Raw genomic sequence first — 25,801 nt, forward strand, 5'->3', positions numbered from 1 at the left:
TTCACACACATGGAGGAGGCGGCTCAGGGCTGACCATGGACCTGAGTCAATGAGCAGAGATATCCCAGTGCCATCCACAAACACAGGGGAGAAGGAGCCACAACTTCTCACTTTCATCCAAAACCCCGACCCCTCCCTGTCTGTGAGGGCCTGGGGTTCTCCTCTGTCTCATACAGAGGCAGAAACCTCCCCCTTAGTGACCCCCAGACTTTGCAAGTCACCAGCAGCCGCTCGGCTCTGGCCTCTTCTGCTTCTTAAGGTTTCCTGCCTATGACAGGAAGTCTCATTTCTCATTTTCTTCATCGGACCATGGCTACATATTTCAGACACATTATAAGTAGGTTTTCCCAATGTTAGGAGCAGATGTGGGCTGTTGAGCATTTAAGTTGCTCACCGTGACTGTGCAGTCCAACACCAGGATCCACTCATGTTTCAGCCCCTCAAGACTTAACCCGGTCTGGAAATGTACCATGACTGAGGCCCTCCCATGACCCAGGCACCACTGGCCCCCAAAACCACTCAGGAGGGGGGTTCATGACAACAGGCTCCAAATGAGGAAACCGAGGCTCAGAGATGGGACTTACTGCCCAAGGTCATGCACGCAGGGATGAAGGTGAGCAATTCAGAAAAAATTAACTCCCTATCCCACCGCCAAATCAGAGCTCAAGACAAGTACTTGTTCCCAAAACCTTGAAGGCAGACTGAGATGCAGGGGAATGCCCAAGGAAGCGGGGCTGGGGGTGGGAGGGACCCCGAGGAGGCAGGAATGACTCAGAGGTTACTTTTAAGGGAAGGGGAGCTGAACGCTATTAAAAAATAGGAAGAAAAAAAGAAGGGAAGTCTAAGAAGGAAACTGGAAGAAATAAAACCCATACTCCAAAGACAAAAGAAGAGTCAGCATTTCTTTATTTCTCCTTTTTTTCTCATTGCCAATTGCAGCTCAACTTGAATTTCACAGCCCGATGTGAGATGCGTCTCTGCTGATCTGAGCCTGTCCTGCAGCATGGACCTGCAACTTTCCTGAAGCATCTCCAGGGCTGGATGCCATGGTAAGGATCCCGCAATGCTGTGTTGATGGACGGGCTGAAGGAGGGAAGGAGACCCCACGGGGAGGCTCTGAGAAGAAGAAAAAGCCCCCAGTCACTCTCACTTGGACAGGACAGACTCAGAAAGGTGCTGTGTCCTGTGTCCTGACCCTTGATGAGATGAGGACAGATGAGGCAAATCGCAGAAAAGGGTCAGGGAGATACCATTTCTGTATGAAATATCTGAAGACAGCCTGGTGCCTGCCCCAGTCCCAGCCTTGGGGAAATGAAAGCCAGGCTCCTGGAGAGGGCAGTTCCCCTTCTTGTGGGGCTGATGACGGGACAACCTCGTGATGGAGAACCCAGGCTCCCAGTAGATTTACTCCATCCAGGAACTGTGGTCTCGTCCATCTGCACAGCCAGGGGCTGTGGAGGAGATGCCATGACTTCCACCCGCAAACCTCTGATCTGTCTTGATGAAATTGAAAGAGGGAGAGGGGAGACTGTAGCCTGGAAGGAATCCCACCTCACAACTTGGTCCTGATTGAATAGAAGACCCCAGAGGTTCACAGAGATCCCAAGGTGGGGAGGATCTGCCCAGGGTTCAGGAGGCGAATCTCCCTCAGGAAGCTCCGTGACCCCCTCCTTAGTGTCGCTCCTGTGCCTCAGTGGGATTTGGAGAGGATGCCTTAGATTAGAGGGTATTGTTCAGTGGGATTTGGAGAGGATGCCTTAGATTAGAGAGTATTGTTCAGTGGGATTTGGAAAAGATGCCTTAGATTAGAGGGTATTGTTCAGTGGGATTTGGAGAGGATGCCTTAGATTAGAGGGTATTGTTCAGTGGGATTTGGAGAGGATGCCTTAGATTAGAGGATATTGTTCAGTGGGATTTGGAGAGGATGCCTTAGATTAGAAGGTATTGTTCAGTGGGATTTGGAGAGGATGCCTTAGATTAGAGGGTATTGTTCAGTGGGATTTGGAGAGGATGCCTTAGATTAGAGGATATTGTTCAGTGGGATTTGGAGAGGATGCCTTAGATTAGAGGGTATTGTTCAGTGGGATTTGGAGAGGATGCCTTAGATTAGAGGATATTGTTCAGTGGGATTTGGAGAGGATGCCTTAGATTAGAGGGTATTGTTCAGTGGGATTTGGAGAGGATGCCTTAGATTAGAGGGTATTGTTCAGTGGGATTTGGAGAGGATGCCTTAGATTAGAGGATATTGTTCAGTGGGATTTGGAGAGGATGCCTTAGATTAGAGGATATTGTTCAGTGGGATTTGGAGAGGATGCCTTAGATTAGAGGGTATTGTTCAGTGGGATTTGGAGAGGATGCCTTAGATTAGAGGATATTGTTCAGTGGGATTTGGAGAGGATGCCTTAGATTAGAGGATATTGTTCAGTGGGATTTGGAGAGGACGCCTTAGATTAGAGGTATTGTTCAGTGGGATTAGGAGAGGACACCTTAGATTAGAGGGTATTGTTCAGTGGGATTTGGAGAGGATGCCTTAGATTAGAGGGTATTGTGTCTTTCAGCAACAAAACCGTACAAAAAACACCTGGGCATTTCACATCAGTGGATAAAGCATATCTTGTGCCAAATCAGGACCAAACTGCGGTGAAATTTAGGGTTCACACTACAGTTAATCACTTTTGAGGAAAGCATTCCAGGTTGGTGCCTATCTCTGTGATAAACATCTCCCTTCCTGGCTACAGGTAATGGATTAAAGTAACACTGGCCGAACAGACACTATCTTCACTTGATGATTATACTGAAAAATAGCCATAAAATTGTTCCCTCCAAATCCAATTCCCCTTTTGACTTTAGACAATTCTCTAAAGAAGATATACAAATGGCCAACAAACATATAAAAAACATGTATATATGCGTATATATACATATATATACACACACACACACACACACACACACACACACACACCATGGAATACTTCAGTCATAAAAAGGAACAAAATAATGGCATTCGCAGCAACCTGGAGGCAGTTGGAGACCACTATTCTAAGTGAAATAACTCAGGAATGGAAAACCATCATCATATGTTCTCATAAGTGGGAGCTAAGCTATGAGGATGTAAAGGCATAAGAAGGATATAATGGACTCTGGGGACCCAGGGGGAGCAATGGGAGGGGGTGAGGGATAAAAGACTACGCATTGGGTACAGTGTACACTGCTCGGGTGATGGGTGTTCCAAAATCTCAAAAATCACCACTAAAGAACTTATGCATGCAACCAAACACCACCTGTTCCCCCAAAACTACTGAAACTTAAAAATAAATAAATAGATAAAAATAAATTCACCACATTCAAAATGACAACCGCTGAAGCCCCAGTGGGCGCATGTTACAGGGTGCTCTTTTAGTTTCGGCCTTCCATAGGCAACTTGTGTGTATCAGCTCCATTAGACCCCTGCCTTCCTGCAAGGACAGACGGCTCTCTGTATCCCAGGGTTCTCGCCTTGGTGTACCGGAAGAACCGGATCACATGAGGGCTTGGAGAATGAGTGCAAGGTTTGATTGAGTGGAAACAGCTCTCAGCAGAAGGGCGATGGTTTTCTCCTGGAGTCGGGCCCCTGGCGGCCCGGGATCCTCTCTGACTGTCCCAGCCAAGCTCCATGTCGTTCTGCCAGTCGGTGGCCTGTGGTGTGCTGGTGCCCGTCCTTGCGTTCCTCTCGACATCCAGCCATCTGTGTGTTCCTGCACTGACGTGCTCCTCTCAGCCGCCAGTGTCTTCTTCTTCCGCTGATCTGCGGACGTCCAGCTGCTTGTGTGTCTGCCTGCTCAGGTCTCGGAGTTGTTTTTTTTGTTTGTTTGTTTGTTTTTTAATTATACTTTAAGTTTTAGGGTACATGTGCACAATGTGCAGGTTAGTTACATATGTATACATGTGCCATGTTGGTGTGCTGCACCCATTATCTCGTCATTTAACGTTAGGTATATCTCCTAAAGCTATCCCTCCCCACCCGCCACCCCACAACAGGCCCCGGTGTGTGATGTTCCCCTTCCTGTGTCCATGTGTTCTCATTGTTCAATTCCCACCTATGAGTGAGAACATGCGGTGTTTGGTTTTTCGTCCTTGCAATAGTTTGCTGAGAATGATGGTTTCCAATTTCATCCATGTCCCTACAAAGGACATGAACTCATCATTTTTTATGGCTGCATAGTATTCCATGGTGTATATGTGCCACATTTTCTTAATCCAGTCTATCATCGTTGGACATTTGGCTTGGTTCCAAGTGTTTGCTATTGTGAATAGTGCCACAATATAGTTCAACCATTGTGGAAGTCAATGTGGTGATTCCTCAGGGATCTAGAACTAGAAATACCATATATTAATCACCTCAGTTAGTTATTATTTCTGTGTGCATGTGTGTGTGCAGTGAAAATACTTAGGATCTACTCTCAGCTAATTTTAAGTGTACAATACAGTATTGTTACCTATAGCTTTCATTCCATACATTAGCTTTCCAGAATTATTCATTTCGGAGAATTGAAACTTTGTATCCTTTGACCAACATCTTATTTTTCCCATTTCCAGCCCCTGCTAACCACCATTCTACTCTCAGCTTCTATGAATTTCACTATTTAGATTCCACAATTATGTGAGATTATAAGATATTTATCTATTAAGAGTTGGATTCATTTCACTTAGCATAATGTCATTTGGGTCCAATCCTGCTATCACAAATGATCTGATTTTCTTCTTTTTCAAGACTGAATAAAACTTTATATTTATTATACTATGTTATCTTAATCCATTCCTCCATCAATGGGCATTTATGTCATTTATTTACCTCGGCTATTGTGAATACTGGTGCAGTGAATTCATCAGTGTGGATATATCTCTTCAAGATCTTGATTTGAGTTCTTTTGGATAATTATCCGGAAGTTGAAATCTGGTGTCTTATAGTTCAATTTTTAACATTTTGAGGAAATGTGATACCGTTTCTATAATGGATGGATCGGTTTCTGTTAACTTAAATCAGGGTATTGTCTTTCTCACTCAGACCGCTGCTGGAATCCTTGGAAATTCTTCACTCCTTTACTTTTTTAGCTTTACTTTTATCACTTCACAGATATTGAGACCCAGAGACCTGATTCTCAGCCAGCTGGTCTTAGCCAACAACCTGGTTCTTTTCTCTAAACGAATCCCCCAGACAATGGCAGCTTTTGGAATGAAATCCTTCCTGGACGAGGCTGGATGAAACTTGTCTTCTATCTATACACAGAGTGGCCAGAGGGGTTTCCCTCAGCACCGCCTGTCTCCCCAGTGGCTTCCAGGCCATGAAGCTTCAACCTCAGTATCTCTAGGAGGATGGAACTCCGAATTAGGTCCACAAAGTGCATTGTTTTCTGCTGCCCCCTCTGCTGGATCTTGCAAATTGTGGCATATACCCATATTGCAATGCATGTAACTGGCCCAATGAAGAGCAAAAACGTGAGTATGGAATAAATGTATAGGTACTCTCCTCACCCATTCTAGGATGATTGCTATTCTTAGCAAATGCAGTCATTTTCTCCCTTGTGGATGGTATGTCTTTGGCCCTCATGGACTACACCAGCAGCTCCATGATCCTCTTCTTATATAGACACAAGCAGACAGTCCAATGCATTCGCAGCCACGGCCTCTCCCCCTGAAAATCTCATGAAACTAGAGCCACACACACCATCCTCGTCCTGGTGAGCATGTTTGTCTCCTCTCATGGTCTAGCTGGTATTTTATCACTGTGGGTAACCTGGATTCAGAACCCAAGCCATTGGCTGAGAAGCATCTCTTTCCTGGTGTCTGCAGGATTCCCGACATTCAGCCCCTTTGGGTTCATTGTCAGTGATGCCCGCGTCTCACAGTTCTGCACTGTCTGCTGGACAAGGAAGACAAATGCTCCAAGTGTGGTCTCTGGGCTCTAAGTTCCCTCTAGACAATTGCGTCCTTTATTTAATCACTTCTCCCCACAATATCTGTTGGATCATACATTATGCCAGTTAATACGCAAGGACTTTGGGACTCAGTATTGAATAAAAATGATAATAACCATAGCCTCATATTGCTTCTTAGGCTCTCAAAAAATGAACGCAGTGTAAAAATTACCCAGATGTATGTCAGTTCCTCAGAAGATTAAACACAGAATTACCATATGACCCGGCAATTTCTGGGAAAATTAAAGCAAGGATTTAAAAGGATGCTCATATACTCATGTTCATAACAGCGTTATTCACATTAACAAAAAAGTAGAAAAAACCCAAAGATGGATAAATGGATAAACAAATGTTATAGAAACTAGGAAATACTGTTCAGTCTCTCAAAGAAATGAAATTGTGACTGACATACACTATAATATGGAGAGCCTTGAAGATATTATGCTAAGTGAAATAAGCCAGTCTCATAAAGGACAAATATTGCAAATATTGCTAAGATTCTATCTATATGAGCTACCTGTCAAACTCACAGACTCAGGAAGTAGAATCACGGTTAACAGAGGCTTGGGGGCCTGGAAACTGAGAGTTGGTGTTTACTGAATATAAAGCTTCAATTGGAAAGATAAAATACTTTGGGGATGGTGATGGCGATGGTTGCATAGCAATGTCAAACCACTTCACAATACTGCACTGTAGAGTTAGAAAGAGTAAATATGGTAAATTTTATTTCATTTGTTTTTTTTTTTACTATAATTTAAAATGAGAAAGAGTAGTAAAAACACACAAAAGAGAGGAGCTAACAGATAAAAAGTGCACTAAGTTAGCCAAGCCAGAGCTTTAAGAACCATTATCACTTCTCTCTCTCTTTCACCCCACAATCAACATTAATCAGGTCCAACCATGTGTTCTGCCTTCTTAGCACTGCTCACGTGTGTCCCCTCCTCTCTTATTTCCATGCACTCTGGCCCAGCTGGGCTTCTTCTCTCTTTGCCTGTGATTTGCTCTGTTGTCCTCCCTGGCTCAGACGTGCAGTCCCAGTCTCTCCTGATGCTTTGTCCCCACATTGAGGGCACTGCTGTTTCCCCACAGGCCACTCCTTTTTTTTTTTTTTTCTTGAGACAGAGTCTTACTCTGTCACCTAGGCTGGAGTGCAATGGCACGATCTCGGCTCACTGCAACCTCCACCTCCCAGGTTCAAGTGATTCTCCTGCCTCAGCCTCCTGAGTAGCTGGGATTACAGGTATACACCACCACACCCAGATAATTTTTTGTATTTTTTTTAGAGACAGGGTTTCACTGTGTTGGCCAGGCTGGTCTCGAACTCCTAACCTCGTAATCCTCCCACCTCAGCCTCCCAAAGTGCTGAACTCCTAATACACCCTCTGTCCTTTCCCACCTTGTCTGTGCCCTGGAGGCTGACTCTATGGATTGCATCATCAGTGTCTCCTTGCCTTTAGCGTCTGATTGAGTTCAACCATGGAGGCACTGTCAGGAGAGCAGAGGGTGAGAGGAGAGAGAGGCCGGGGAATCAATTCCCACACATATGCCCTGCCAGGCTGTGGTTTGTCAGCAACTGTGCTCCTCTACCCATGACATCAGCTCCCGCAAGGCACCTCCCATCTCCCACACAGGGCTCTCTCCACCCCTTGACCTCCCATCCTGGGAGTGGCAGTGGCTTCCTGGGGTGCTTCATCCCTCTCATTTGCCCACACCTTTATACACTTCTTTTTCTTTTTTCTTTTCTTTTTTTTTTTTTTTTTTTGACGGAGTCTCACTCTGTCACCAGGCTGGAGGGCAGTGGCACCATCTCAGCTCACTGCAAGCTCTGCCTCCCAGGTTCACGCCATTCTCCTGCCTCAGCCTCCAAAGTAGCTGGGATTACAGGCGCCCGGCTAATTTTTTGTATTTTTAGTAGAGACAGGGTTTCACCATGTTAGCCAGGATGGTTTTGATCTCCTGACCTTGTGATCCACCCGCCTGGGCCTCCCAAAGTGCTGGGATTACAGGCGTGAGCCACCGCGCCCGGCCTATACACTGCTTTTTCTATTTCCATTTTTATTTTAGAATTGGGGGTACATGTGTAGGTTTGTTACCAAGGAATATTGTGTGGCATTGAGGTTTGGAGTAAGACTGAGCCCCTCACCCAGGTAGGGAGCATGGTACCCAACAGGTAGTTTTTCAGCCCCATCCCCCTCCTCTCCACCCTCAGTGGTCCCCAGCGTCTACTGTTGCCATCTTTATGGGAAGATGTGTACCTAATATTTAGCTCCCACTTATAAGTGAGAATATGTGGTATTTGGTGTTCAGTTTCTACATTAGTTTACGTAAGATAATGGCCTCCAGCTGCATCCATGTTGCTGCAAAGGACATGAGTTCATTCTTTTTTATGGCTGTGTAGTCTTCCATGGTGTATATGGACCACATTTTCTTTATTTGGTTCACTGTTGATGGGCAACGAGGTTGATTCCATGTCTTTTCTATTGTCAATAGTGCTGCAATGATCATCCAAGTGTGTGTGTTCTTGACTAGAATGATTTATTTTCCCTGGATATATACCCAGTAATAGGACTCCTGGGTCAAATGGTAGTTCCATTCCTAGTTATTTGAGATATCCTCAAACTGCTCTCCACGGCGACTGTTAGTCCTAGCTCTTTGAGAAGCCAAGGTGGGAGGATTGCTTGAGGCCAGGAGTTTGGGGCCATTCGATTCTCTAACTACTACCCCTGCTGTATAGAAATGTCATTGATATGGATTTGTTTTTATTTTCTTATAAATCCTAATGGACTTTGAATTTTCTATTTAGAGAATCTTACTACCTACAAGTAATGAAAAAATCTCTCTAGCCCTCATATATCTTATTTTTAGTTTTTTACTTTTACTGATATTATTACATCAGTTAGGACACCTCAGTAGAAAATGGAATAAAAGTGGAAAGACCATTAAGCCTCGTTTTGTTCATATTTTAGTGGAAATTGATCTAAGCTTCATCATTAAATATAATATTTGCTATTGATTTGTTGCTGGGCATCCTTTAACATGTTTATGATGTTTCATTCTATTCCTAATTCATTAAGATTTTTTAAACCATAAATAAGTGCAGATTATAGTAATATTGAGCAAATATTTTCTTCTCACCTCCAATGGGCCACCCTCTAGACCCCCTACCCTCACCCTCATCTCCCCTACCTCACCGCGGGTCTCTGTCCTCAGACCCCTGCTGCAGGGGACCCCTGGAGGTGACATATGCTCAGCTGGACCACCAGGCCTTCACTTGGAGGACAGCCCAGGCTGTGTCCCCAGAGTCCATGGTGCCCATGGCTGAGTCTAGCATGTACACAGCCCTCGCCAGGCACTGACTCCGGGACCACTGCCCCCTGCGCCTGAGGAAGTCATGCTTGGAAAAGCCTCAAGAAGCCATCTGGAGGGCTTCCCCTTGGAATCATCCTGGTCTGCAAAACCAGTCAACTGTTCTGGAGATAAGAGGTAGAGCCCAAAGTTCTCTAGTCAGCATCTAGAAAGTTCATTAACCAGGTGATTCCTTCCACAACTGACCAGCACCTCAAAGAGGTGGCATTGCAGCTACTTCTAGAAACCCAGCTGCAATCACCTGGCTGTTTCCAGACACCTAGTTCCAGTCACCTGGTTGTTTCCAGTGATCCAGCTGCTGTCACTTCTCTGTTTCAAGACACCCAGCTCCAGTCTCCTGGCTGTTTGCTGAGTCTCAGCTATAGCCATCCCAGCTGATTCCATTAACAATGTTGCATCCCCCTGCAGTTTCCAAATGTCTTCTGTAAATCCCCCCAGCTGCCCCAGCAATCGTCTACTCAGCTGATCCTGAACATTCTCCTAGAGTTTAGTTGTTGACCTTGAGAATGAGCTATACATATGGATCTGAGAGCTGAGACCAGTCCTCTGGGTCATGCTTTACTTCATGCACCAATGAATAGTTTAAAGACCTCACATCTGGCAGTCCTGTGTCATGTTCTGGGGTGTATAGATCACTTGGACCCAATCTCTGCCTTCATGTTGTTCAAGGTTACATGGGGTTAACAAGAGCTACAAAGGAGGTGTCAGTATTTTTTTAAGGATTTCATTGGCAGTGATTGCATATATTCAAGATGCACAAGGTGATAATTTGATATACATATACATTGTGAAATAATAGCCACGGTCAAATGAATCAGCGCATCCATCACCAGCTACGCTGTACATAAGATCCCCTGAACTTGCTCATCTTAGGCCTCCAAGATGGAGCATATGATCAGGGATCAATTAAGGTGTCTGAGCGGATGCATGGATGGGTGAAGACAGAGAGCTAATCCCACTTATGCACTTACACACATATGCACATGTACTCACACATTCACACATGCACACACATGCACAAACCTGAACGCACTCACACATGTCAGGAGACCTCTGAATCCTCTGTGCGCTGGGACTTGGTTGTCTCCACCCCTCTTAGAAAGTTAGATGCTCTCCCTATTCAGATTAAAACGGAAAATTACTTGAGAACCACTAGGGGGAGACAGTACCTCATTTGAATTAATTTTTGTGCACATTTAAAATAAACAATAACACACTTACCATGGGCATGCCTTTGGCCGGATTGCAAAGGTAAACATATATCAAAGCATCTCATGGTACCCAATAAATATATACAATTATTATTTTTCAATTAAAATATCGTAATAAAATAACAGAAAAGAAACCTGCATACTTGTAACAGAGTGGATTTTTAAATGTCGTTTTATACAAGAAAAAGAATATTTTTTAAAAAACTCAACAATAACTCAATCAGCTTATCCTATGGAGCAATTACTAGTTGAATACTATGCAAACATCAACACATTCACTAGTCTTACATATGCCCCACAGCTTGTCCTATTTTTTCCCCACTTGTGGGGATTTTGATAGTTGTTGAGTATGTCTAATCCAATTATACATTCCAGAGCAAGGAATAAAGCCACAGGATGCATTTGGTGGCCAAGAAAATTCAACAGGAGACAAATCTGAGCTAAAGGTTCATTGACTACCTGACCTCCATAAGCTTCTAATCTGACTGGAGGGTCACCATGATGTTTTGGGTCTTCTGAAGTTAGTGTTAGCTCAGAGCCAGTGTCTAGTTGCACCCAAAATATCTGATCATTTCCTTTACCCAGTACACAGCTACCATGATAAAGGCCATAGGTCCATTTAAGGGAAGCTGAGATAAATATAATTGTTTAACTTTTTATAGTATATACCGGGGCAGCGCCTTCAAGGATACCTGGTCTTCCCTTTAATTCAAGGGGTTCTGGGTCTATAAACTGGTGAAATTCTAGTAATTGATTAAGAGACTGTAACTGTCTATTTTATGATTTTAATTAGATTCTTGTTCTCTTTGCCAAGAAATGTTCTGCTTATACAAATCAAGTAAGAATGAAGTAAGTTTCCTATCTATTTCACGTCTTAGAACGCTGCGGTCAACTAGACAACACTAAAGGGCTGCATGAGACAGTCTATTCTGATTACTGCCTTGATTCTGCTTTCCATTATGATCACCACACCCAGTTCTATGATAACCACACCCAATTCAACACACCAGATTCTCACCTTTGTCGACTGACTTCTGACACTTGAGTCCTGCCACTCTAGGATCCAACTACTCCCCTTACATTTAGGTTTCTCGGTTCAGTGGCAGCAGTTCCCACTGGAAGTTCTGGCCTCTCCTAATACACCCTCTGTCCTTTCCCACCTTGTCTCTGCCCTGGAGGCTGACTCTATGGATTGCATCACCAACATCTTCTTGTGTCTAGTGTCTGGTTGAGTTCAGCCATGGGAGGCACTGTCAGGAGAGCAGAGGGTGAGAGGAGAGAGAGGCCGGGGAATCTATTCCCACACGTACGCCCTGCCAGGCAATAAACTGTGCTCCTCTACCCATGACATAAGCTCCCACGAGGCACCTCCCATCTCCCAGCTCAGTCCTCAAGGTGACTTTCCAGAGACCTAGTTACATTCGGCTGTTACTAAAGAGTCAGCTACAGTCATCTAGCTGTTTCCAGTGACCACCCCCAATCCCCCATAGCTGCCTGCCTGTTTGCAGAGACCCAGCTACATGCACCTAGCTGTTTCTAGAGACCCGGCTACATCCACCTGGCTGTTTCCAGAGACCCGGCTACATCCACCTGGCTGTTTCCAGAGACCCGGCTACATCCACCTGACTGTTTCCAGAGACCCGGCTACATCCGCTGGCTGTTTCTAGAGACCCGGCTACATCCACCCAGCTGATTTCATTATCACTGACGCAGTCCCCAGCTGCTCCTATGTCTCCTGGAAATCCCCAATTGCCCCAGAGACTTTGTTGTAATTTTCTGTTCAGCTGACTCTAGGGATCTTCCTGGAGCTTAATTGCTGGCCTTAAGAATGGGCCATATTTATGCAACTGAGAGCAGAGCCCAGTTCTCTGGGCCATGCTTTCCTTTGTACATCAACAAATAATCCTAAAGACCTAAAGTCTGGCAATCCCACGCCAGGTCCTAGGGTGCACAGGTCACCTGCATCCAGTCTTTGCCTTCACAGTTATTCAAAGCTGAGCAGGGAAAAAGGAGAGCCACAGAGAAGTTCAGTGTTTTCCTTTTTATCTTTTTAAAAAATCCTTTTTTATCCTTAAAATGATTTAATCAACCAAGATTGTATATATTGAGGTGTACAACATGATGATTTGATATACGTATACATTGTGTAATGATTGCCACAATCAAATTAGCACACTCAGGACAACCAGTGCCCTAAATAGATCCCCTGGATTTGTACACGTTATGCCTTAAAGTTGGTGCCAGAGTTCCATTTATTTATTTTTATCCATATATAATAGTTGTATATAGGTTTGGGGTACTTATGATATTTTGATACTTGTATGCAATGGGTAATAATAAAATCAGGGTAATTAGAATATCCATCACCTCAAATATTTATCTTTTCTTTTTGTTGGGGAGCATTACAATTCTTTTATTCTAGTTGTTTTGAAATACACAATATATTATTGTTAACTATACTTCCCCTACTGTACTGTCAAATACTCAGTTATTTCTCCTATCCAGCTGTATTTCTATACTCCGTAACTAACATCTCCTTATCTCCCACCCTTTCCAGCTCTAGTAACCACCAGTCTACACATTTTTTTTTTTTGAGACAGAGTCTTGCTGTGTCACCCAGGATGGAATGCAGTGGCGTGATCTTGGCTCACTGCAACCTTTGCCTCCTGGGTTCAAGAGATTCGCCTGCCTCAGCCTCCTGAGTAGCTGGGATTACAGATGCATGCCACCACGCCAGGCTAAAGACAGGGTTTCACCATGTTGGCCAGGATGGTCTCGAACTCTTGACCTCAAGTGATCCACCCGCCTCAGCCTCCCAAAGTGCTGGGATTACAGGCATGAGCCACCACGCCCGGCCTTTTTTTTTTCTTTTGAGACAAGGTATTGCTCTGTTGCCCAAGCTGGAATGCAGTGACACAATCATGGCTCACTGCAGCCTCAACCCTCCAGGGCTCAAGCGATCCTCCTGCCTCAGACTCCCGAGTAGCTAGGACCACAGTGCACACCACCACGCCCAACTAATTTTTGTATGTTTCGTAGAGAAGGGGTTTTGCCACATTGGCCAGGCTGGTCTGGAACTCCTGACCTCAAGTGAACCACCTGCCTTGGCCTCCCAAATCACTGGGATTACAGGCACAAGCCACCACACCTGGCCAACCAGTCTACTCTCTCTGTTTAGGAATCCACTTCTTTAGCTCCCACGTATGAGTGAGAACATTCGAGATTTGTCTTTCTGTTCCTGGCTTATTTCACTGACCATAATGACCTCCAGTTCCAACTATGTTGCTGTAAATGTCAGGATTTCATTCTTTTTTATGGATGACCCCTCTTCCATTGTGTATACATACCACATTTTCTTTACCCTTTTATCCACTGATGGACACTTAGGTTGATTCCGTATGCTGACTTGTGAAGAGTGCTGCAATAAACACACGGGTGCAGGGACTCTTGTGATGTCCTGAGATTTTTTTCCTTTGCATGAATATTCAGTAGTGAACTCACTGGATTTTACGATAATTGCAGTTTCAGTATCTTGAGGAATCTCCGTGTTTTTTTTTTTTTTCTTTTTTTGAGACAGAGTCTCACTGTCGCCCAGGCTGGAGTGCAGTGGCGTGATCTCGGCTCACTGTAGGCTCTGCCCCTCGGGGTTCACACCATTCTCCTGCCTCAGCCTCCCGAGTAGCTGGGACTACAGGTGCCTGCCACCTCGCCTGGCTAATTTTTTGTATTTTTAGTAGAGACAGGGTTTCACCCTGTTGGCCAGGATGGTCTTGATCTCCTGACCTCGTGATCCGCCCGCCTCGGCCTCCCAAAGTGCTGGGATTACAGGTGTGAGCCACCGCGCCCGGCCGGAATCTCCATGTTTTCCATAATGGCTGTACTAATTTATATTCCCACCAACAGTGTCTAAGAGTTATTTTGTCAGCACATCCTCACCAGCATGTTTTTATTTTATTTTATTGATCTATTTATTTATTTGTTTGTTTGTTTAGATGGAGTCTCACTCTGTCGCCCAGGCTGGAGTGCAGTGGTGCCATCTCAGCTCACTGCAACCTCCAGCTCCTGGGTGCAAGCGATTCTCTTCCCTCAGCCTCCCGAGTAGCAGGAGCCTCCTGATTACAGGCGGGCGCCACCACGCCCGGCTAATTTTTGTCTTTTTAGTAGAGACGGGGTTTCAACATGTTGGCCAGGCTGGTCTCAAACTCCTGACCTCGTGATCCGCCTGCCTCGGCCTCCCAAAGTGCTGAGATTACAGGCGTGAACCACTGTGCCCAGCCCAGCATGTTTTTATATGTTTCTTTGATAATAGACATTTTAACTGAAATAAGATGATACTCATTGTAGTTTCGATTTGATGCCAGTGATGATTGTGGGTTTTTGTTTGTTTGTTTGTGTTTTGAGATGAAGTCTCGCTCTGTCACCCAGATTGGAGTGCAGTAGTGTGATCTTGGCTCACTGCAACCTCTGCCTACTGGGTTCAAGTGAGCCTCCTGCCTCAGCCTCCTCAGTAGATGGGACTACAGGTGTATGCCACCACGCCCAGCTGTTTTTTTTTCTTTTTTTGTATTTTTGGTAGAGATGAGGTTTCACCATGTTGCCCAGGCTGGTCTCAAACTCCTGGGTTCAAGTGATCCACCTGCTTTGGCCTCCCAAAGTGCTGGGATTACAGGTGTGAGCCACCGCGCTTGGCCGATGATTAGTGTTTTATATAGCTGTTGGCCATCTGTACATTTTCTTTTGAGAAGCAACTATTCAGATGCTTTGCATACTTGTTAATGGAATTATCTGGGGATTTTTTGTTGAGGTGTGTTTCTTCTAGGCCTAATTTGTTGATAGTTTTAATGATGAAGGGATGTTGAATTTTGTCAAATGTTTTTTTAACATCTATTGTGATGATCATATAATTTTTTTTTTTTTTTTTAGACAGAGGGTCTCTCCTTCACCCAGGCAGGAGTGCAGTGGCGCGATCTTGGCTCACTGCAACTTCCACCTCCTGGGTTCAAGAGATTCTCCTGTCTCAGCCTCCCGAGTAGCTGGACTACCGGTGCACACCACCACACCCAGTTAATATTTTGCATTTTTGAGAGAGATGGGGTTTCATCATGTTGGCCAGGCTGATCTCGATCTCCTGACCTCAAGTGATCCACCCATCTCAATCTCCCAAAGTGCTGGGATTGCAGGCATGAACCACCGCGCCTGCCCATGATTATATGTTTTTTGTTCTTCCTTCTGTTGACATGAGATATCATATCTATTGATTTGAGAATGTTGAAATATCCTCCCTTCTGGCTGCTGTGTGGACTGCGAGCTCTCCTACCCTCCATGGTCTTCCAATCCCACTGTCCCCAGGCCAACTGCTCCCAGACTATGCAGTAGTCTCATGTGCATGGAGCAGTTGCAATTGATCCTGGTGGTGACAGAGGGGTTGGTGTTTCAGGCATGGCACAGTCAGAGGAGGTCCCAAGGAGAGACCAAGAGGTAAACTTAAGTAGAGCTGCACCCCTTCCTTGGCATCTGTAGAACCCTGGATAAAATCAAATACGCCAACCCAAATGCCCATCAATGATAGACTGGATAAAGAAAATGTGGCACATATACACCATGGAATACTATGCAGCCACAAAAAAGGATGAGTTCATGTCCTTTGCAGGGACACAGATGAAGCTGAAAACCATCATTCTCTGCAAACTAACACGAGAACAGAAAACCAAACATCACGTGTCCTCACTCATAGGTGGGAGTTGAGCAATGAGAACACATGGACACGAAGAGGGGAAAATCACACACCGGCACCTGTCACGGGCTGGGGGGCTGGGGGAGGGATAGCATTAGAAGAAATACCTAATATAGACAACAGGTTGATGGGTGCAGCAAAATACCATGGCACGTGTATACCTATGTAACAAACCTGCACGTTCTGCACATGTATCCCAGAACTTGAAGTATAATAATAAAAAAAAAGAAAACGAAACAATGAAACATGGGTTCTTATGAATCACAGAACACCCGTGACCCCAAGTTAAGATGGAAATTTATGATTCATTCCAACTAGGTCCTGTTTTCAGTATCTCACAAAAGCTTGACTCTAGAGTGAAATATACTTGGAAATGAATGAACGACTCTTGTGGTCTTTTTACTTCTTGTAAGGCTTTAGGATCCACCCGTTTGAATACCTATGACCAGGACCTCCTGCAATGCTTCTCTCTCCACCTCCAGGCATCCCTTCATTCAGATAATACCAATTCATCATCACCATCTGACCTCTCCTTCAGCTTCTTCACCACCCTCCATCTCAATTGCTTTCTGTTTTTCTTCTTTATTTTTTGAACTTCAACTTTTATTTTAGATACGAGGATACATGCTCAGGTTTGCTACATGGAACTATTGCACCCAGGTGGTGAGTGCAGGACCCAGTGGGTATTTCTTTTATCCTGTCCTATTGCGTTAAATCTTTCCTTCCCGGGACTGGTCCTATCTCTAAACTTTTTGCGTAGTGATTTTATCAACTTAATTTTTGCTAGGATGCTAGATTTTCTAGGAGGGGAGGTAATTTGAAATGAAGTCTGGGTTACTGTGAATCCAGTATATCTGCTTTGCTCGCCTTTATCTCTTGTGTCCTGGGATGGCCACAGGTTGACATGTTTAAATGTTTCTTAAGTGAGGATGGATAAGATTTACTGAGTGGTGAGTGCACGAATACAAAAGCAAAATGAGGCCGGGCGCGGTGGCTCACGCCTGTAATCCCAGCACTTTGGGAGGCCAAGGCGGGCAGATCACCTGAGGTCAGGAGTTCGAAACCAGCCTGGCCAACATGGTGAAACCCCATCTCTACTAAAAATACAAAAGTTAGCCGGGTGTGGTGGCAGCTGCCTGTAATCTCAGCTCTCAGCTACTCGGGAGGCTGAGTTAGGAGAATTGTTTGAACCCAGGAGGCCGAGGTTGCAGTAAGCCAAGATTGCACCACTGCACTCCAGCCTGGATGACAGAGTGTCACCCTGTCACAAAAAAAAAAAAAAAAAAGAAGCAAAATACAAGAAGTCCAGGACTGGTAAAGGCAAGGCATGTTGAGCGGTTAGAAAAGGGGTGATGACATCGAAAAACCTCCTGGCATTTCCCAGTCCTTGCCTAGCACAGGTTACTCTGAAAGCAGGACTTAAGACAAGGATATGAGCGCAGGTAACTGATTTGGGAACCAAGTTTAAGGGAATAGGGTTCCCTTATGAAAGAGAGAAGGAGAGGAATTCCTGAAATCAGCATGCATTGCGGACACCACTACAGCAGGTAATATGGACAGGTCCACACCAGGATCTCTGATAATGTGCAGACCATCATCCAGAACTTCCCGCCAAAACAGGAGATACTCGCCAATATGTGTATGGCTTTCTAGCCCCCATTTCTGGGAGTTTCTTTTTCCCCAGCCACTGTCAGACGCATCAAGCTTTGGCTGAAATAGCTTCCAATAAGGTCCTTACACACAAATGTGGAGAGACACATGGAAATCCTCGAAATGAGATACTGTCCCGTGATTCTGAGAGTGACCCAAAAGGATACGGAATGAGGTACTAAAAGCAGGTGCTTGGAAACCTGAGGGCAGTGGTGTTCATGCGTTTCCCGGCACTTTGACTTTCAGCCTCCTGCAAGCCTCTCCTTCTTTGCCTTCCTGACCGTTAGATACAATTAATTTGGGGTTTGTTTTTTCTGCTTCCTCTTTCCCCTCCCACCCTATGTTTCAGTTCTAAAGTTAGAAGGTCCTCTCATCCTTTTAAGAAGAACAGAGACAGAAAATGGTTAGTCACCATCTAGGACAGACTACAATTCCAGATCATTGCAGGACGTGCCCACTCAAATGGATGATTATTGAGAGCTGGCCACCTGAAGTGTTTTACACAGGCAGTGATCTAAGGGTTGAAGCTATCTGGCCTTTTTGCTTGCTTGTTATGTATTTATGGCTTTTTTCCTTTTCAAAATAATTTTACTAAATATTTAATTCACCAACTATATATATTTATGGGGTACAATGTGTTATAAATGTATACACTGTGGAATGATGGAATCAAGACAGTTAACATGTCCATCACTCCGCATACTAACATCTGTGAAAACATTTAAAATCTATGCTTGGCTGGGCGTGGTGGCTCATGCCTGTAACCCCAGCAACTTTGAGAGGCTGAGATGGGCGGATCACCAGAGGTCAGGAGTTCGAGACCGGCCTGGCCAACATGGTGAAACCCCATCTCTATTAAAAATACAAAAATTAGCTGTGAGTGGTGGCGGGTGCCTGTAATCCCAGCTACACAGGAGGCTAAAGCAGGAGAGTCTCCTGAACCCAGGAGGCGGAGGTTGCAGTGAGCTGAGATCACACCACAGCACTCTAGCCTGGGCGACAGAGTGAGACTGCATCTCAGAAAAGAAAAAATATATATATATATTTTGGAGCTACATCGTGCTAGCGCTGCAGAGAATGAGTTTTGTTTTGCGACACAGTTTTTAGATGTCTACCGGGCTCTGGTGGAGATGGAATGTTTGGCCTCAAGTGGGCAGGTCCCATGGGACATGAGTAGCCGACCATGACCTGGCTGCGTACTGGCCCACCAAGCATTCGACTGGCGTGCCCAGCCACTCTCCGTCATCGCAGAGAAGTGCTCTATGTGAGATTTGGTTAAAGGAGTCCCTGAAGGCCTGTGGGAGGCAGAATAGTGACCTCCCAGAGATGTCCACCTCCTGAGGCCCAGACCCTGTGAGTTGGGGAAGCTTATGTGGCAAAAGGGACTTTGCAGATGTGATTAAGTCAAGGATCTTGGGTTGGGGAGATTACCCAGGTGGGCCTGATGTAATCACAAGGGGCTGAGTAAGTGAAAGAGGAAGACAGGAGGGTCAGAGTGAGAGAAGGAGGTGAGTGCATGGAAGCAGGGGGCAGATAACGGGACTGGTGGCTTTGAGGTTGGAGGGAATGGAGAGGCAGGAATGCGGGAGCCTGCAGAGGCTTGAACAGGCGAGGGAACAGATTCTCCTTGGAGCCTCCAGGAGGACACGGCTCTGATAGCAGCTTCATTTTAGCCCAGGGAGACCCATTTTGGACTTGTGACCTCCGGGACGGTAAGTCAATAAACCTACATTATGTGAAGCCACTAAGCTTGTGGTGATTTGTTATGGCAGCAAAAGGAAGCTTTATGGTTCATCTGTACCCTGAAAATGCAGGTTTTTGGTTTTTTTTTTTTTTCACTTGTTCAATGATGTACCCCCAGTGTCAGGCGCTTTGCAAACACACGATACATACGGGTTGATGTTTGGTCAAGAGAGGAATTAAGACCAGGCAGACAGCAGGCTGGGATCAGAGAGACCCCATTTCTGTCTGAAATGTCTGCAGAGAACCTGGTGCCTGCCTCAGCCCTAGCTCTGGGGAAATGAAAGCCAGGCTGGGGTTCAAATGAGGGCAGTTTCCCTTCCTGTGGGCTGCTGATGGAACAACCCCATGACGAGAAGGACCCAGCCTCCAAGCGGCCACACCCTGTGTGTCTCTTTGTCCTGCCGGCACTGAGGACTCATCCATCTGCACAGCTGGGGCCCCTGGGAGGAGACGCCATGATCCCCACCTTCACGGCTCTGCTCTGCCTCGGTGAGATTTAAAGAGGGGGAGGGGAGACCCGAGTCTTGGAGGAAATTTGCCTCACAGCCAGGCCCTGGTTCTTTAGGAGACTCAAAAATCTCAGGGTAGCCGGGCGCGGTGGCTCACGCCTGTAATCCCAGCACTTTGGGAGGCCGAGGCGGGCGGATCACGAGGTCAGGAGATCGAGACCATCCTGGCTAACACGGTGAAACCCTGTCTCTACTAAAAATACAAAAAATTAGCCGGGGGTGGTTGCAGGCGCCTGTGGTCCCAGCCACTCGGGAGGCTGAGGCAGGAGAATGGCGTGAACCCGGGAGGCGGAGCTTGCAGTGAGCCAAGATCGCACCACCGCACTCCAGCCTGGGTGACAGCGAGACTCCGTCTCAAAAAAAAAAAAAAAAAAAAATCTCAGGGTAAAGAGAGGACCTGCTCAGGCTTCCGGGGCAAATCCCTCACAGGGAACTCTCTTCCAGGGCTGAGTCTGGGCCCCAGGACCCACATGCAGGCAGGTGAGTCTGTCCCCAGCTGTCCCAGGTCCCTCCTCCTCACTGGGACAAGGGGCCACCCATGGGCAGCTGGGGGAGGAGACAGCAGTTCTGGGTGACTGATGAGGATGACGGGGGGGTCCTGGGGCTGAGAGCTGGGATCTGAGGGCTGAGGAAGGTCTTGGGATCCAGCCTCTGATTTTCTTCCAGGGCCCCTCCCCAAACCCACCCTCTGGGCTGAGCCAGGCTCTGTGATCAGCTGGGGGAACTCTGTGACCATCTGGTGTCAGGGGACCCTGGAGGCTCGGGAGTACCGTCTGGATAAAGAGGAAAGCCCAGCACCCTGGGACAGACAGAACCCACTGGAGCCCAAGAACAAGGCCAGATTCTCCATCCCATCCATGACAGAGGACTATGCAGGGAGATACCGCTGTTACTATCGCAGCCCTGTAGGCTGGTCACAGCCCAGTGACCCCCTGGAGCTGGTGATGACAGGTGAGAGGACACTCAGGGGTCCCAGCCCCAGGCTCTGCCCTCAGGAAGGGGGTCAGCTCTCAGGGGCATCTCCCTCTCACAGCCCAGCCCTGGGGATGATGTGGGAGGTGGGAGCCCCATTTAACACGGTGCCTCCTTCTCTCCTAGGAGCCTACAGTAAACCCACCCTTTCAGCCCTGCCGAGTCCTCTTGTGACCTCAGGAAAGAGCGTGACCCTGCTGTGTCAGTCACGGAGCCCAATGGACACTTTTCTTCTGATCAAGGAGCGGGCAGCCCATCCCCTACTGCATCTGAGATCAGAGCACGGAGCTCAGCAGCACCAGGCTGAATTCCCCATGAGTCCTGTGACCTCAGTGCACGGGGGGACCTACAGGTGCTTCAGCTCACACGGCTTCTCCCACTACCTGCTGTCACACCCCAGTGACCCCCTGGAGCTCATAGTCTCAGGTGAGGCTCCTGACCCTGTCCTCTCTGAGCTCAGTGGCTCCGTTCATGCCCTGCTGCCAGGAGAGCTCTGGGCAGGGATGGAGGGAGAGGGGCTCAGCCAGTGGGGGACTCAGCCCTCAGAGGGGAGGAGGACAACAGGGGCCCTCCCAGGCATGCCCATGCTCTTCTCCCTCACCTAGGGTCCAGAAGGTGCCAGGTGGACAGAGAAATGGTCCTTGGGAAGCTGCAGGGCAGATATAGGGAGAGGTTCAATTTGATGTGGAGACCCAAGGGCAACCCCAGACTCTCACCCTCCTCTTGTCCTTCTACCCAGGATCCTTGGAGGGTCCCAGGCCCTCACCCACAAGGTCCGTCTCAACAGCTGGTGAGTCTCAGAGGCCTCTGTCCAGAGAGTTTCCAAAGCCCGAGGCCTGTCTCAAGACATGCTCAGTGGATCTAAGTCCTCGTTCCAATTCTCAGCTGGGCTTGCTTCCACGGGTGTGGGAGTCGGGCAGCGACTTGGGAGGCACCACAGGCTCCCAAGGCCCTGAGGCTGGGCTGGTGAGGGGTGAGGGGGTCAAGGCTGAAGGAGATGTTGCGGGGAGAAGCCGAGCTGATGTGGGGAGCAGGGCAGCCCCAGCCCTCACATCCCTGTTCTAACCCAGCAGGCCCTGAGGACCAGCCCCTCATGCCTACAGGGTCAGTCCCCCACAGTGGTGAGTGAGGGGCTCTGAGTGGGAGGTGGGCAGGGTCTAGGGGAGCCAAGGGTGGGTTCTGTCCTAGGTTAAGGCTCCTCTGGAGGTGGTGATGTGGACAGGCCCCTCCCCTGCATGGGCCTCAGTTTCTCCAAGTGTAAAGGAGAGAGGCCTGCGGGTGGGAAAGTTCCTTTCAGCTCTGACTCCCAGCTGTGCCCTCCTGGGAGAGGAGGCCTCCCAGGGAACCTCCCAGACCCGATTCCGCAGGGGCCTGTCCGGTCCCACCTGCAGCAGAGACGGTGACCTGGGGCAGGGGAGGGGAGCAGGGCGGTGGTTCAAGACAGTCAGGCTCTTTCCCTGCAACTCTGGGGCTTGGCTCTGGTGCAGGAACAAGGGCTGCAGCTCAGACTCCCGGGTTTCCTTCCCAGCTCTGCCGCTTCCTGGCTGGAGGGGTCTGGGGCAGGCGATTCCCCTCTCTGAGCCTCAGTTTGTGCATCTGTGAAATGGGTGGAGAGAGGGTGGCAATCTCAGGTTGCACAACTGCTGTGAGGGTTGGAGGTAATGAAAGAAAGACCCAGCACACACAGTAGGTGCACACACAGTAGGTGTGCACATCAATGACATCATCCCCATTCCTGATGTCATCACGCCCAAGGTCTGAGAAGGCACTGGGAGGTACTGATCGGGGTCTTGGTGGTCTCCATCCTGCTTCTCTCCCTCCTCCTCTTCCTCCTCCTCCAACACTGGCGTCAGGGAAAACACAGGACATTGGGTAAGTAGGAAATTGGGGGACCCGTGGGCTGATGGAGGGTGGGCTCAGGGCACCAGCCAAAGGGACTCCAGATAGGAGAGGTCATCTTAGAAACTCTGCTCCAGAAATTCCCAGTGAGAAAATCTAGAAAGAAGAAAATGAATGAGGGAGTAATGGAAGTGCTTTATTCTTTCGGTTTTTCTAAACTTAGAAAGTATTTAAAACATCCTTGCAAGTGTATTTTCAGGTTTCCTTTCCTCTTGACTTGCATGTGCAAGGCAGGTGGTTCTAACGTTCCCAGAGCTGAGACTCTGTCCATCTTCCCCCAGCCCAGAGACAGGCTGATTTCCAACGTCCTCCAGGGGCTGCCGAGCCAGAGCCCAAGGACGGGGGCCTACAGAGGAGGTAATTCTGCCCAAAGACCTCAGACTCCCACCCATCCCAACAGCCACCTCACTGTCCCCTTACACTCCCGTATCCTCCCCCAGGTCCAGCCCAGCTGCTGACGTCCAGGGAGAAAACTTCTGTGAGTGAGAGGCAGAGAAGGTGCACCTGGGGTGGAGCTGGGGGTCCCAAAATTTCAATAGCAATGGGGGCAGGAGCACAGGCTAGGATTGGTCAGGGACTCAGGGAGAAGTGGTCTGAACCCACATTGTGGGACCTCGGGGACATCACAGCCCCTCCCTGCGTTGCAGTGGCACTAATGGGAACAGGGCAGGGACCAGCAGGAATGAGAGGTCCCAGGGAACCTTCCCAGGAGATGAACCCCTTGCTCTACCCCAGCAGGTGCTGCCGTGAAGAACACACAGCCTGAGGACGGGGTGGAAATGGACACTCGGGTGAGAACCCGCCCCTGTCCCCGGCACCAAAGGCCTCCTGGTGCCAGATCTAATCCTGCAGGACTTCTCTGTCCTCCTTCCCCCGGCTCTCAGCATCGTCACGGTGGACCCCTCCTTGTCCAGCACGCTGCCTCCTGCCTGCTGGGACCTCACTCTCTCCTGCTGTCCTGGGACCTCATGGGCCTCCTCCCGGGTCCCCTTCCTGCTCCTCATCCTCTGTTTGGCCATCTGGTTGTTAGAGAGCTCCCCAGGCCTCAGGAGGATGACGAATAAATGAACCACTCCAGTCCCCTGGGCTCCCCTTCATTCATTCATCTAGTGAGTGTTCCCAGGGAGCTCACTGTGGATGGGGCTCCCCATGGGAGCTGCAGACACAGCAGGGAGCAAAGCCGCCCCCGCCTCCTGAGCTCACCTCGTGGTGGGAGACAAAATGCAAATAAATGCATCGTGTCCAGGAGTGCAACGTGCTGTAAGGAACATAAACCAGGTAAAGGGCAGAGAGTGTGGGGCAGTGGGGCCAGTCTGAATGGAAAGGGAGGGCTGTCTGCTCAGCTGTCATCTGAGAAGCCTGGACGGAGAGGGCCACGTGATCCTCTAATGGACGAGCCCCTGCAGGCAGAGGAAACAGCCGTGCAAAGGCCCCGAGGCAGCAGCGAGCTCTTGCAGGAAGGCCGCGTGAGGCTGCAGCCAAATGGGCAAGGTCAGAGTGAGGAGCAGAGACCAGAACCACAGGGAGGGAGCGGCCAGACCCTCCACGGCCTTAGGGCATCCCTGAGATTCCGTCAGGAAAGGGATGTAATCGGATCACCCTGGGAACAGTGGGGAAAATTGACTCCAGGGAGTCAGGAGGATTCAAGGACACCCCCCACCACTGTCTCTCTCCAGCAGAGCCCACACGATGAAGACCCCCAGGCAGTGACGTATGCCAAGGTGAAACACTCCAGACCTAGGAGAGAAATGGCCTCTCCTCCCTCCCCACTGTCTGGGGAATTCCTGGACACAAAGGACAGACAGGCAGAAGAGGACAGACAGATGGACACTGAGGTGAGTCCTTTCCTCTCCAGGCCCCCAGGCCTCCCCCACCCCCACCACGTTCCTTCCCTCTCACTCTCCCCCGCTGCAGGCTGCTGCATCTGAAGCCCCCCAGGATGTGACCTACGCCCGGCTGCACAGCTTTACCCTCAGACAGAAGGCAACTGAGCCTCCTCCATCCCAGGAAGGGGCCTCTCCAGCTGAGCCCAGTGTCTATGCCACTCTGGCCATCCACTAATCCAGGGGGGACCCAGACCCCACAAGCCATGGAGACTCAGGACCCCAGAAGGCATGGAAGCTGCCTCCAGTAGACATCACTGAACCCCAGCCAGCCCAGACCCCTGACACAGACCACTAGAAGATTCCGGGAACGTTGGGAGTCACCTGATTCTGCAAAGATAAATAATATCCCTGCATTATCAAAATAAAGTAGCAGACCTCTCAATTCACAATGAGTTAACTGATAAAACAAAACAGAAGTCAGACAATGTTTTAAATTGAATGATCATGTAAATATTACACATCAAACCAATGACATGGGAAAATGGGAGCTTCTAATGAGGACAAACAAAAAATAGAGAAAAATTAATAAAGTCAAAATGTTTATTCTTGAAAACATTAATGATACATGAATCTTGGCCACAATGAGAAAAATAAAAATGAAAAAAGAGCAGGCATCCATTTCCATACAGGAACAAAATAGGAGGCAGCACTACAGACCCTACACACAGCTTTACAGAGGTGAAAGAAAACTGTCAGCAATTCTATGCTGACATAACAGAAAATGTAGATGAGATAGATGAAATACGAAAAATTACAGTTTACTTAATGAACATAAGGATAAATAGAAAAACTGAATCATCATACATAAACATATATAAAATGCATTGATCCTGTAATCAAAAATGTTCCCACAAAGTAAATGCCACTTCAGCAA

At 47.7% G+C, this 25,801-nt stretch overlaps 1 protein-coding gene, 1 non-coding gene and 1 pseudogene across 18 annotated transcripts; all 3 read left to right on the forward strand.

The window, feature by feature from the left end:
* Window positions 1-2,391: 2,391 nt before the first annotated feature.
* MIR8061 (microRNA 8061) lies at window positions 2,392-2,466 on the forward strand. The gene has a single exon (NR_107028.1). It is a non-coding gene; the product is annotated as a microRNA 8061 (primary transcript).
* VN1R105P (vomeronasal 1 receptor 105 pseudogene) lies at window positions 4,994-5,948 on the forward strand (annotated as a pseudogene).
* LILRB4 (leukocyte immunoglobulin like receptor B4) lies at window positions 20,068-25,801 on the forward strand. Of its 17 annotated transcripts, none has more exons than NM_001394933.1 (12): window positions 20,068-20,150; window positions 20,615-20,650; window positions 20,837-21,121; window positions 21,269-21,568; window positions 21,882-21,932; window positions 22,213-22,263; window positions 22,898-23,014; window positions 23,323-23,398; window positions 23,482-23,519; window positions 23,777-23,832; window positions 24,718-24,876; window positions 24,956-25,801. In NM_001394933.1, exons 1-12 carry the CDS (start codon window positions 20,117-20,119, stop codon window positions 25,100-25,102), a joined length of 1,350 nt encoding a protein of 449 aa, NP_001381862.1. In that variant the 5' UTR covers window positions 20,068-20,116; the 3' UTR covers window positions 25,103-25,801. The 17 variants fall into 17 exon arrangements, with proteins under 17 accessions (NP_001381862.1, NP_001265357.2, NP_001265355.2 ...); NM_001278428.4 differs by having other exon boundaries at window positions 24,721-24,876; NM_001278426.4 differs by having other exon boundaries at window positions 23,780-23,832.

Source organism: Homo sapiens, chromosome 19 (assembly GCF_000001405.40).
Source record: "Homo sapiens chromosome 19, GRCh38.p14 Primary Assembly".
NCBI classification, from domain to species: Eukaryota; Metazoa; Chordata; class Mammalia; order Primates; family Hominidae; genus Homo; species Homo sapiens.

What these genes read in the sequence shown, in the direction of transcription:
- LILRB4 (NM_001394933.1), top strand. Translation starts at nt 20,117, where the DNA reads ATGATCCCCACCTTCACGGCTCTGCTCTGCCTCG. An exon ending in CACGGCTCTGCTCTGCCTCG is followed by an intron (nt 20,151 to 20,614) that starts GTGAGATTTAAA and finishes ACTCTCTTCCAG; the next exon opens with GGCTGAGTCTGGGCCCCAGG. An exon ending in AGGGTCAGTCCCCCACAGTG is followed by an intron (nt 22,264 to 22,897) that starts GTGAGTGAGGGG and finishes ATCACGCCCAAG; the next exon opens with GTCTGAGAAGGCACTGGGAG.